The following is a 14,551-nucleotide window of genomic DNA, read 5'->3' as shown; positions in this document are numbered from 1 at the left end:
AACATGGCAGCACTGGGATGTGAACTCATTTTTGCCTAGCTCCAAAAGCCTTGCTCATTCATTCAGACTCTCAGAAATGAAAATAATTCCCTTCATCTTTGTTAAATCACATATTCCTACAGCCAAATTCTCCAAAGCTTTTGTGAAACCTATGTGATGCTGTAATACAATTGATTACTACAGTATTTATGGAATATACCATTCATAGCTTTAGGCTACACAGGCACAGTTACATATCAAGCTCTCTTGAATTCTCTCTCTTTCTAAAACCTATGGATTTGAAGTCAGGATGTTTTCAGAAGTCCAACTGGTGTTAAAAATCCAAATAGATCAAACATTGTTTCTGTTTATATCTGTATGACAACTAATACCAATGTGTGTAATTACAGTGTAGAGAAACCCACATAATTTCTGTGAGGAAAGTTTATTTTCCTGGAAGTAGCCATTACCAAGAAGCAATAGAAACCATAACCAGTGGCTCTTATTTTGCATTTACACTTTTTCATCTTAATGTTAGTATATGTGCAGCCAAAGCAAGCCCTACTTTTTCATGTTAAGCAATGGCTAAGATTGTGTGTGATATAGGTGAAGGCTATCACCAGATAAACACCATCAAAAAGTTATGTTTGTATAGTGTATTTCTGTTGTGATATTTTTAGTACCCTTCTTCCTTTCCAACTCCCTCCTTCTCTTCCACAAATGCAGGTTTTGTATTAATTCTGTGATGCCTGAGGCATTAGGCACTCCAATAAGTAATTAAGTCTCACCAGAATTTGAGTTTGATGATATGGTGTCCATTGTGTAAATGAGGATACATCCTCCATGAAGCTCAAGGTCACACAACCAAATGTGAAAAAGTAGGTCTGTCTCTTGCTGAAAGGAACTGAACATTGAATGCTGCTGCATGAAGCCCAAGGCTTCAGTGGAGAACCTCAGAAACCAGATAACTCTGAGCCATAAGGCATGGTATTGGCCTCTCAGAAGTTGTAATAAATAAGTATGGGATTTTCCCTTATTTTGAAGGCATTAATGACTCATTTCTCTAGGATACTGATGTAAGTTCTTCAGTGGAAGACAGCTGGAAAATGTGGGTCCTTGTCTACAGATATAAGATCTTAATAAAAGTAATCATGAAATTGACCTCGATGAGGAAAGCACTGAAACAGGATTACATGGCCTGAGTGAAGTCCTAACAGTAGAGAAGATTATGTACAAAGACACAAGAAACACACAGAGGTAAGAAAAGGAATATTAACTGGAGTCTGGAATGCAGGAGCATGTGAGTGTGTGTGTGTGCATGTGTGTGTGAGTGTTTATGTACCTAGATAAGTTTAGATGAGCCTGGAGAATTAACAAGCCATGCTTGTATTTTGCAAAAATATACTCGAGAAGAGACACAGGTTGGAAACCGTTGCAGAAATACAATAAGAGATAGTGGTGACATGAACCTAAGTTTATGATGATGAATTTGAAGAGAAATTCTAGGCCTTGGCTTAGAAAACAACATAGAAAATACTTGGTTCTTCAGGAACATAATACCCACAAGACAAACTTCACTAGAAACAGAATTTGCACATACACAGATCTATATATCACTGCTTAGTTGGATGAAATATATGCATATACATCCATTTACAGATGGACACTTTCGTCACTGAAAGAAAAAGTGCACTTCAGATCTACACTACAAATATATTTACCTACAAATTTACCTATATCAGACAGTTTTACCTGCTATTTTTGAAAGGTAAAGCAGATGCTTGATTTATCATTTTAAACTTATGAGTGCATTTTAAATTGCTATGAATGAAATGAAAATTATTTTAACTTGAACAGATATGTAAGGATATTTGATGTTGCTTGGTAGCTTTTCTCATACAGATCCTATTTTGCACATGAGATTTGCCAGGGAGTTGAAGCTACCTCCTATTCTGCACTTGTTTATATGATTTGGTAATAGTATTTTGTTGTGAAGGTTTATGAACATGGTGAAATACATACATTCTATTGAGAGATATGACAAAATGGCATAACTCAAGTTTCAACTATGATTTTGATAAATAGTTTTCAAACTTGTTTTGGGGGGTTGATGGAATCACAAGGGGGAAGATAACAATTTTACTATTAAAAAGTGTTAACATTATTTTGGCTATAGTAATAAAATAATTGTCATAATTATTTCATTAGAATTTTCATATAAGAAGAGTTATAGAATTATCCTTTCACTCAGCAAATTTGGTTTGTTTGTTTGTTTTTTGAGACAGGGTCTTGCTCTGTCGCCGAGACTGCTGTGTGGTGGCATGAAGCCATCCTCCCACCTCAGCCCCCCAGGTAGCTGGAACTACACGTGCATGCCACCATGCCTGGCTAATTTTTGCATTTTTTTGTAGAGACCAGGTTTCACCATGTTGCCCAGGCTGCTCTTGAACTCCTGGGCTCAAGCAATCCACCCATCTGGGCCTCCCAAAGGCGGGAGGGATTACAGGTGTGAGTCAACGCACCCGACCCCATTTCTCTTTCTAAGATTAATTCTGCTTTTGTTTCTGGTTGTATGTATTTTTACAAATAATTGAAATGATGATGTAATATTCACAATGCTTCAAAAGTGTGAAAAAAGTATATGTGAATATTAATCATATAAATGATAAAATATATGAAGTAATGAAGCCAAAGCAGGTCATTAAGAAATATTTATAAACATTAGGTATTGAATTTACAGATGTTGCCAACGTTGTACATTCCTGGGGCCAGTCATCATAAATTCTGACTGATGTTTAAAATGAGAGCAAGAAATACCCAATTAACTAGTAAATTCAAAACCATCTAATCTTCTTCCGATGCATCTGTGACGTCTTCTTTGTACTTGTAAACTTGCATTGCACGTTGAATAGGAGTCTTAACAGAGTCATAAGTCCATCCCCTCCTGGCAAACAGCCTTTGAATGATGCCAGGCATTTCATAGCCCTTGCTTAGAATGAAATCCTTAAAGGCGATTGGTCCATAAAGACCGTCAAGAATGTCGGGTTCATCAGGCTTTTCAAGTACGAGCTTGGGGTCAATCAAAGGTTCATCACTTCTTAGCTTTTTCCCCAACTTAGGCTTGAGGTACCATGCTCCATACCCCATCTTCACATGCTGTGCACTATGAGAATTTGGTGCATTCTGGATTTTCCCGTCCAAGTCTTTTTCCTGTGAGAAGAATTTGACCTCATCCATTTCGTCTAGCTCCATGCTGTACTTCAGCCCTGAGGAACACTCGTTTGCCTTCTTATTCTTTTGGTCTTGATAGGTTGCTCTGCACTCAGGGGTAAAGTCAAACAGACTGCTGATGGATTCTTCATTAACTCCTAGGTCTCCAGCCCACTTGAAGTCACGGAGTTTTCTCGATGTGTGTCTACGTTGAAGAGAGTCAGAAACACACTCCATTGTGCTTGATGTACCTTCCTGAAACAGTTCTTTTAGATGGGACGCTCCGGTCTTGGTAGGCTCCGGGCAGAGACTGGACACCCGACCAGTCTTGGGAGGCTCCAGGCGGAGACTGGACACTCGACGAGTCTTGGGAGGCTCCAGGTGGAGACTGGATACCCGAGGCTTGGGAAGCTCTGGGTGGAGATGGGACACTCCAGTCTCAGGAGGCTCCGGGCGGAGATGAGATACGCGAGTCTCAAGAGGCTCTGGGCGGAGACTGGAAACCCGAGGCTTGGGAGGCTCTGGGCGGAGATGGGACACTCCAGTCTCAGGAGGCTCCGGGCAGAGATGAGATACGCGACTCTCAGGAGGCTCCGCGTGGAGACTGGACACCCGAGTCTTGGGAGGCTCTGGGTGGAGACGGGACACTCCAGTCTCAGGAGGCTCTGGGCGGAGATGAGATACGCGAGTCTCTGGAGGCTCCGGGCAGAGATGGGACACTCCAGTCTCGGGGGGCTCCGGGGGGAGACTGGACACCCGAGTCTTGGGAGGCTCTGGGCAGAGATGGGACACTCCAGTATTGGGAGGCTCCGGGCGGAGACTGTACATCCGAGTCTTGGGAGGCTCTGGGCGGAGATGGGACACTCCAGTCTCAGGAGGCTCTGGGCGGAGATGAGATACGCGAGTCTCTGGAGGCTCCGGGCAGAGATGGGACACTCCAGTCTCGGGGGGCTCCGGGGGGAGACTGGACACCCGAGTCTTGGGAGGCTCTGGGCAGAGATGGGACACTCCAGTATCGGGAGGCTCCGGGCGGAGACTGTACATCCGAGTCTTGGGAGGCTCTGGGCGGAGATGGGACACTCCAGTCTCAGGAGGCTCTGGGCGGAGATGAGATACGCTACTCTCAGGAGGTGCCTGGTGGAGACTGGACACCAGAATCTTGGGAGGCTCTGGGCGGAGATGGGACACTCCAGTCTCAGAAGGCTCTGGGCGGAGATGAGATACGCGTGTCTTGGGGGGCTCTGGGCAGAGATGGGACACTCCAGTGTCGGGAGGCTCTGGGCGGAGATGAGATACGTCCTTCTCTGGAGGCTCCGGGCAGAGATGGGACACTCCAGTCTCAGGAGGCTCCAGGTGGAGACTGGACACCCGAGTCTTGGGAGGCTCTGGGCGGAGATGGGACACTCCAGTCTCAGGAGGTTCCGGGCGGAGATGAGATCCGCGAGTCTTGGGAGGCTCCAGGCAGAGATGGGACACTCCAATCTTGGGAGGCTCCGAGCGGAGATTAGATATGCGAGTCTTGGGAGGCTCCGGGAAGAGAGGAGACACTCCATTCTTGGGGGTCTCTGGGCGGAGAGGAGGTACGCGAGTCTTGGGAGGTTCCGGGCAGAGATGGGACACTCCAGCCTCGGGAGGCAGCTGGCGGAGAGGAGATACGCGAGTCTCTGGAGGTTCCGGGCAGAGATGGGACACTCCAGTCTCGGGAGGCTCTGGGTGGAGACTGGACACCAGAGTCTTGGGAGGCTCTGGGTGGAGATGGGACACTCCAGTCTCAGAAGGCTCTGGGCGGAGATGAGATACGCGTGACTTGGGAGGCTCCAGGCAGAGATCAGGCACTCCAGTCTCAGGAGGCTCCCGATGGAGATGAGATACGCGAGTCTTGGGAGGCTCTGGGCAGAGATGAGACACTCCAGTCCCAGGAGGCTCCAGGTAGAGATGGGACACTCCAGTCTCGGGAGGCTCCAGGTGGAGACTGGACACCTGAGTCTTGGGAGGCTCTGGGCGGAGATGGGACACTCCAGTCTCTGGAGGCTCCAGGTGGAGACTGGACACCTGAGTCTTGGGAGGCTGTGGGCGGAGATGGGACACTCCAGTCTCTGGAGGCTCCGGGCGGAGACTGGACACCGGAGTCTTGGGAGGCTCCGGGGGGAGACAGGACACCCGAGTCTCGGGAGGCCGAGGGGAGAATTCCCCACAGGGGTATTTACCAGGCTCCGTGGGTTCGTCAGTTGTCTTCTCCTGGCCCTCACAAGAGCCTGCGTCCTCCAGCTTCCTCTCAGGGTCCAGCGGTTTCAGTACCTGTAGTAGGAGATCTGGAGGCATATCTTCTCCCAGATTGGGGTACATGGCCAAGGGATGCTTGGTCATCAGCTGGGCTTCCACTTCCTCTACGAACGCCTTCCGTGCTGGCTGTGCTGGCGAGAGCTTGGAAAACAGGGCCGCTTTCTTGAGCAGCTTTTTCTTCCTGCTTTTGGGGTCAGCTTGGGGACCTCTGAGAGATATTTTGGGGAGTAAAAACTCGTCACGGCGACAAACAAGCGTATCTTCAGGAGACTGACAGCCGTAGCGGAAGTCGTCCATGCCCTCCGTCACAAATACCCAGTTCTGGGTGTCCACAGGCGGGAACCTCAGGCGCCTGTGCTTGCGCTTCGCGAAGTACTTGGAAGGCGGTTTGTCACAGTACCAGGGCGTGGAGTCCATGCCCGGGGAACTGGGCCGGTCCTGCGGCCTCTGGTCCCCCATGGTGGCCCTCGCTGGGGTGCCACCTCTCCAGTTTCCGCGGTTCCTGATCCCTGACGCTCTAGTCGCTAGGAGACCGCCAGCCACGCGCAGCCCAGGTTCCTTCCTGGAGGCGGAGCAGCGCTGATGCCACCTGCGCAGCCCAGATTCTAACAGGTGTGTAGTAGAATCTCATTCTGGGTTTCATTTGCGTTTCCTAATGACTACTGATATTGAACATCTCTATATTTGCTTATTTGCCATCCTTATCTCTCCTTGGTTGAAGTTTCTGTGGATTTTTCCCCCATTTTTAAATTGTGTTGCTGGATATCATATTTAGTTTTGAAAATTCTTGTTCTGTTCTACATCTAAGTCCGTTATCATCTATATGATTTGCAAATTTTTCTCTTCATCGTTGGCTTTTCCCTTTCATTGTCTTAACAGTGTCTATCAAAGAGAAGTTTTTTTTTATTTGATGAAGTCCAATTTATTAATTTGCTCTTTTACAGATTGTGCTTCTTTTGATGTATCTGTGAAAACTTTGCCTATCCAAAGGTCACAAAGATTTTTTTAAATTTAAATTTGTTTAAAGATTTGTAAACAGCACACGATATAGATCAAAGTACTTTTTAAAAAAATGTGTCTATTGCCTGTGTATATCTGGTAATTTCAGTAAAGACTATATTTTCTCCACTGAATTACCTTTGGAAATTTGTAGAATATCAGCTGTGTATATTTTTTTGTGGGTCAATTTCTTGGCACTCTTTTGTCTTCCAGATTTTTCTCTCACACAAATTTCACCCTCTGTTGATTACTTTAACTTTAAAATAAACCTAGAAATTAGGCTGTATTAGTTCTTTAACAATGTTCATTTACAAAGTTGGTTCTTCTAGGTCCTTTGAATTTCTACAGAAACTTTAAAATCAGTTTATCAATGTCTAAAAAAAATTCCGTTGGGATTTCAATTAGGATTCTTTTGAATCTGTAGATAAATTTGTGGGTAATTGACATATTAAAAATAGGAAGTCTTCTGACCACTGAAAAAGGTACATTTTCCCATTTGTTTACGTGATTTTTAATCTTCTCAGGAATATTTTGTATTTTTTAGTGCATATGTCTTTCACATAATTTCTCCCCAGATTTTTTCTAAATATTGCTTTTGATACTATTATATGTAGTATTTTTAAATTGCAATTTCCAATTTTTTGTTGTTAGTATATATAAATATTGAGTTTTGTATATCCATCTTGTATCATACAACCTTACAAACTCACTTATTACTTTCAGGAGCATTTTTGTAGATTTCACTGAATTTTCTATATATATGATAATGTCATCTGTGAATAAAGACAGTTTCCCTTCTTTCTTTCCAAATTGAATATCTTCATCCCCTCTGCTCAGTCCAGTTGCGATCCTTGATTTTCCTTTGAATAACATCAGTGAAATTTTTCTCTCTCTTATGGTGTTTAAAACTATATCTATGAAAAAGATTTTTTTATAAAAAATGTAATTATAGACAAATTCAGCTTGCATTATTCCTTAACCATATTATTTTCTAATCACATAATAATTTTTTCTGTACATTCTTGTCCATTTTTAAAAGAAATATTTCTTATTTCCCTTGTTAAGTGCAGCTGAACAATGTTTTCTACCATTACTAGCAGGTATACCCTAGTTCCTCCTTGTAAATAAGGCATGATCAATGCCTCTCTTCCCTGTGGCTCCTCCTCTGTAAAATAGACACAATATATATTCCTCTTAGGTTTCCCATTAACGCTAATAAATGGTTTATGTGTAAATCAAGATAATCTATATAACATGATTTTGTATAGTGCCTGGCACAGAATAAGCATCCAGTAAAGTATTGTTATTTTATATAGGATTACTACTATTTGAAAATAAAAATATTCTACTTTCAGTGTCTAAATAAAGGGGAAGCAGAAATCATACAGATCTATTTATATGTCACAAATATTTTCATTTATCAATTATAAGAATCTGTTAAACTGTCAACACATTTAGTAGATTTCATAATGTGAAGTTGGTAAGACCATTTTGATATGGATTTGTTTTTAACTTTCTCACTTGGAAAAATTCCATGGAATGTATGTTAAATTCAAGAGCCAATATTTCAACAATTCTCTATAACAGTACTCTAACTAGCAAGCTCATATGAGTTCTCACTTATCTAAAGTGGGTGAGGGTTTGAATAAAACTTCTATATTCTAAATATTCCCAGAGAAAAACACACATTGAAGCTCCTAAAGGTCAACTGGGCATCTTCAAAATTTTTCATGTGGCTGTTCATTAAAACAGTTTTTGTACTTTACAGCCACTTCATTTTTTTCCACTTTACAAAGTAGAATATTATACAAAATACTCATATCCAGAATACATAAATAATTATTAAAACTTAACAATAAGACGGCCGGGCGCGGTGGCTCACGCCTGTAATCCCAGCAATTTGGGAGGCTGAGACGGGCGGATCACGAGGTCAGGAGATTGAGACCATCCTGGCTAACACGGTGAAACCCTGTCTGTACTAAAAATAGAAAAAATAGGCAGGCATGGTGGCGCATGCCTGTAATCCCAGCTACTCCGTAGGCTGAGGCAGGAGAATCGCTTGAACCTGGGAGGCAGAGGTTGCGGTGAGCCGAGATCGCGCCACTGCACTCCAGCCTGGGCAACAAGGGTGAAACTCCACCTCAAACAAACAAACAAACAAACAAACAAAACAAAACAAAAAACTTAATAAGACAACAGAGAACACAAAACAAAATGTATAATACATAGTAGTTTAACATGTATAGAGATATATAGGTAAAGAAATAAATATAGTTGTGTGCACATATTGGTTAGTATACATGCATATATTTTATAGCTCTGTCTGCTGATAAACTAGAAAAAAAATGACATCCAAGTAGCAAAAAGTACATCCAGTGCCCAGATCTTGGTTTCTAAATACAATTATCCAAAATAACAAAAGCAAAACGAGACATCCTTGGAGAAATGAGTAATTCTAGGCCTGGGGCAGTGAAAACACAAGATGAGCCTGGAGTATTATGTAATGCAAGAAAATAGGAAGTTCTCAGAAAACAAAAGAATAAAAGCAGATCAGGAGCCAAGCTGAAAGAGCACTCAATGCCCAAAGTTAAAACAATTTAAGCAACATGAGAACTAAAATTTAAAAATTATAACACAATATAAAATAAAATGTCCATGAGTCCATACTGATATAAATGATTGTACAAATAAATAAATGAAAAAAAAGATGCAAATCTGTCTCCCGAAGAATTTTAAAAAATGTACATAGATACTCCTCCCTCCAGGAGGTGGAATTTAAATGCCCCCCCCCCCAGAGTGTGGGCTGGATTCTAAAAAATGGAATATGGAAAGGGAAAAATAGTGACCTTTTAGTGGAGAAGCCTGGCAGTTCTCTCCTTAAGCAAGTGATCAATGTTAATATCAGCAGTGAGACATTACATTGGTATCATGCACTACTCTGATAGGATGTGATGAGAAAGACACTTCATCTCTGTAGCATTCTTCTCTAAATTCCAGAATCCTAGTCTAATGAGGAGAAAACATATAACAAACCCAAGTCCAGGGACATTTTACAAAATTCTCAAGTATTCCTCAAAATCATAAAGGTCATGGGAAAAAATTAAAGGCAGAGAACCGGTCATAGACTTTAGATCAAAGAGACATTCAAACTAAGTTCAATGTGGTAGGCTGAGTTGGATCCTGACACTGAAAAAGGACATGGGTATAAAAAATCTACAAATCTGGATAAAGTCTGAAGTTTAGTTAATAGTAATATGTCAATGTTAATTTTTTAGTTTAAATGCATGTACAATGTAAGATATTAATTTTAGGGGAAGCTGGGTAAAATGTGCATGAAAATGCTCTGTACAGTCTTTGCAACTGGTTCATAAATCAAAAATTATTCTAAAACAAAAGATTTCCAATTTAAACTATATATTGCATCATGATAAATTATCAGCAAATCACTATTAATCATATAAGAGAGAAAGATGTAGCTTCTTTAAAATGCATACTTGTGGCCCCTCTGTCCTCATATATAGTAAATCATAATTTTTTCAAAGTGGAGCCAGTCATCTACATTTTACATGGTCTCTAAATTATACACACCAATATGTGAGAATTACTTTTCTAAAGCCCTGTGCTTTTTATAGGCCGCAAAGACTTTCAAAGAGTTTAAAAACCACAGTAGTTATGGTATTATCCAAAGTCACCAAATTTGGAGAAAATTAAATTTCAGCAAGTGCTATATGGGAATGTAAAAATCAGATAGTAGAGCCCGTGGACAAAATAATTCACTTAGATACACGTACATAACTGGTGGACCCACAGGATAATGAAGTCATGATAGAAGACTAAAGAAGATACAAAGTTTGGTGAGTACCTGACTGGCAGTGAAAAAACAACTAGGAGTGAAAGCAACTTACTTGTGCAAACAGCCCTTCTTGGGTTAAAGAAAACTGACATCACTATAGAGTTCAGAGAAATTACAACTGGCCTGTTCAATCAACAAGCAACAACTGCCTTAGTATGAAGTGTTACTCCAGAAATGAATAATGTAGCTTACAAGCAAAATGAACACCAACAAGCTAATAAATAAATGTTCAAGGAAGTCAAAATGCTCTGAGCAGAGCAGCATGTAATGAATAAGTGTATAAGAAAATTAAACAATGAAAATCAATGTGATGAAGTGCATTGGTTTAATGGAGCCTAAGTAGTACCAGTTCTGACATCTTCGTGTGCCTCTGACTGCTCTTAGTTACCTACAACATTTACTGCAGACTTAACTCCGGACACCATTTTTATGCTCCAGCAGACTCACATTATCTGCAACCTTGCTGGCTCTTCCACCCACATGCGGCACCTGCCAGCCTTTTTCAGATACCCAATCATTTTCATTCTGATCCAACCCACTTTGGAATTATTTTGCTTTTATTAGCTCTTGGTAAGTTTACTTTCTGTGATGATTAATTTTCTGTGTGAACTTGGCTAGGCTATGGTGCCCAATTATTCGGTCAAATAGTCTAGATGTTGCTGTGGAGGTATTTTTAAGCTGTCATTTAACATTTTATATCAGTAGACTTTTAGTAAATCAGATTTACCCTCCATAGGATGGGTGAGCATCATCCAGTTAGTTGAAGGCCTTCAGGAAAAAGACAAAAGTTCCCCCAAGAAGACGGATCTGTTTGAGTTTCCAGACTTTAGAATCAAGACTGCAACATCAACTTTTGCCTGAATTTCTAACCTACAACCAGGTCCACAGATTTTGGATTTGCCAACCCCCACAGTTGCATAAACCAATTCCTTAAAATTTCTCTCTCTCTCTCTCTCTCTGTATACATATATTTATATATACCTCCATAGCAACATCTAGACTGCTGATAATTTATCATGATGCAATATATAGTTTAAATTGGAAATCTTTTGTTTTTGAATAATTTTTGATTTATTAACCAGCTGCAAAGACTGTACAGAGCATTTTCATATATATATATATATATATATACACACACACACACACATACACACACACACACACACACACACACACACATATATCTCCTAATATTTTCTTATCTTTCTGGAGAACCTTGATTAATACACTATTCATTTTGATCATTTTTCTACCCGTAACAATGTTCATATCTTGTCTTATAATGATACTCCCTGCAGCAATTTTACCACTGCTATACCCACTGACACTTTTTCTCAGCAAAGTATAAAATATAGTTAAGGCATAAGAAATAATATAGACTTAAAGATTTCCATTTTGTTCATTGAATCAAAAAACATAGAAGAATTATTCCATACCTTGGTTGAATATCAGAATCATTTGTGGCCCATCTTAAGAGTATATATGCCAAGGTTCTACCCTGAGCCTGCAGAATCAAAATTCCTCCCATTGATAATGATTCACAGCCAAAGGCTGAAATCCCTGGATACATAATAATTTGATCACAGTATTTCATACAGGATATAGTCCAGCACTACTGTTATTAATAAAGAACTTGAGGCAAAATAGAACAAATGACTTACACGAGTTCTCAAAAAGTAAGAATAAACAGTGTCAGGCTAGTATTTTTCATATTTCTAGAAGATTCATTCTATTTTCTGGTATAGATAAATTCCAGAAAAAATGACAATATTCCTGTCTCCTTATATGCATATTTATCATCTGGTCCATTGTTTCAATTCACAAATATAAATAGATTGCAATATTCAGAAAATAATCGAGCAGAGGCAGCTCTATTTTATAAGGTGGTTCAGGTGGTTCAATGACGCTCTCTAGTATATAGTTAGAGGACTTCACAAATGGCTAAAATCTTGGCAATTTTGTGTGTTGTTAAAGTAATAAAACTTAGAGGACAGGTAACTGTTACTGTGTCATATTCTCTGATTTAATTAAAAAAGACTGTTCTTGCTTTCCTATTGATGGAATTTTGCAGATGCATTCAACAAGCTGTCATTAGTCTTAGCTTATTTTCTAGTAGCTAGCAAAATAATTCCAGAATCACTTCATATCATGGATATGAATAATGTAGAATAATCAATAATCTCAGTTGTCCACTAGTGCTGATTTAATCTTATTTCTTGGCTTCTAATGCAAAATTTCCATCTTTTATAGAATTACCAATTCGCAGAGTGCTGTACACATACACACATAACCAGCTCAAAGCTATGTTCTCAGTAGTGTCCACCTTACCTGGCTAATGTCCAACATTGGAAGAGCAGGCAAAAATATGCAATATTAGTATATTTACAGACAGATTGTTACCATTTTACCTCAATTTTGAAATACAGGTTGTTAATTCTATGTTAAAACCACAATTCACTAAAGGTCCAAAGTTGAGCTGGTTTTAACATTAGTGATCAAAGCCTAATATGTATACGCAAATGCATGCATTCAATACACATGTGAACACACCACAGTTTTCTAAGATATTATTGAACCTTTTACAAAATGTTAATTTAGTTGTGATTTTACAGAAATAGTTCTAATATAATATTACTACCTGTGTGTTCATTTGATCTAACGGTACACCTTTACAAAGAGTCTGAAGGCTATTCTACATCATCCAGCTGTGAAACAGCTTTATGATGCCAAGTGTCCCATACAGAGGTTTACTCCAATGAACTGGTTTAATTTAGAATGTAATCTAACCAATTATATTTAATAACATGGCTAGGAAAATCAGCCATCAGTGTCTCTGGGAAAAAATAAAGTAGACTTCTGGTTTTGCATAGAATATCGTGATTCCTATTTCCATTGCTCTTTTTACATTTATAACAAATGAATAAGCTGAATGTGATTTTTCATTTTGTAGCCACAATCTCTGTAGACAAACTGATCAACTGAAATACTTACATTGATTTGGTCAATATATTTATCAATGAATAATGATTTAGGAAGTTATTTTCATGAGTTGGACAATTGTGCACCTGGATTCATTTACAAACTATTGTCTTTTTCTAAATGTTAGAGATGTTTGATGTGAGGAAGAAAAACTTAAGGAGGGAGACCGACATAATGGAAATTGCATTTTTCTCTACAGCATAATTCAGGAATACATTAGATTAGAGGCCAAAGTGATGATTTGGAAGGAACTAAAAACACTGATATTTGATAGAGACCTGGTGAACTAGGGAAGCAATTCTAAATAGATTATTTTGGATGTGGAACAGATATTTCCAGTCATCATTGGAGTTTTTAGTCCTTGACAGTGATTTAAGGTCTTCGGAATGCTAAGCAATGTTACAATACCTGCACATACAACACAGTCATATGCTCTGCCACCAGTAGCTGCTCTCAGTGTTGCAGGACTTGTCCTTAGTTCAGCTAAAGACTAGCTCCTTGTCTGTCCCATGGCCACGAAAATTTAGGCTCCCAGATAGTTTGAACGGTGAGCAAAGCAGGGTTTTATTGAGTGAAAAGGGAAAAAGGGAGAATGGGGAATCTCCGCAAGGCCAGAGTTCCTGCCGGTGCACTTACCACCTCATGCTGTTTGAATCCCAGTTTCCACACAGGGAGAGGTGGGGCCAGGCTCCTCACTGCTGCAAAGGGCGCAAATTCCTATGTCTCCACCCCAGTGTGCAGGCTGGTTGGTGTTTTCCTGGGGGGCCCCTTCCCACCTGGCTGTCTCATTCGCCCCTCTAAAGAAGTACATCTAACTCCTGTTAGAATAAGGAAAAGGATAAGGATGAAAACCGACCTTAACTGCTTCCTGCTGACCGGGGCGTTGTTTTGGAGAAAAGGCTATCAGATCTCCCTCAGAGGCCTAAGGCTTCCCAGCAGAAGGGGCCATCATCAGAGGCTCTGTTTGCATGACCCTTTGGAGTTCGATGGCCTGAAGGCAAGACAAACTGGGTTATTAGAAAACATGTATCAAAACGAAACAAGGGGAAGGGTAGGGATAGCTCAAAAATTCTAAGGCCTTTTACCAGTTTGCATGGGGACAGGAAGGCCAAAAGCCCGTCTGGTAAAAAATTTTACCCTTTTCTGGCATGTTGGGCTTCTGGGTTCCCCTCCCCTGAGCCCAACCCCAAGCCAACCAGTTTAAAGTTTGGGAAATTAACTCTTTCCAGTTTGGAGGATGCATCTGAG

General features: G+C 40.5%; 1 protein-coding gene across 1 annotated transcript; it reads right to left on the bottom strand.

Annotated features, from left to right (window-relative positions):
- On the bottom strand, nt 2,678–5,976 carry FAM47C (family with sequence similarity 47 member C). Its single transcript, NM_001013736.3, has one exon. It carries the CDS (start codon nt 5,929–5,931, stop codon nt 2,824–2,826), a length of 3,108 nt encoding a protein of 1,035 aa, NP_001013758.1. The 5' UTR covers nt 5,932–5,976; the 3' UTR covers nt 2,678–2,823.

The sequence above is a fragment of the Homo sapiens genome, chromosome X (genome assembly GCF_000001405.40).
Source record: "Homo sapiens chromosome X, GRCh38.p14 Primary Assembly".
NCBI lineage: Eukaryota > Metazoa > Chordata > Mammalia > Primates > Hominidae > Homo > Homo sapiens.
The sequence above is the reverse complement of the archived record's forward strand: the minus strand, read 5'-3'. Positions and strand labels throughout refer to the sequence as shown.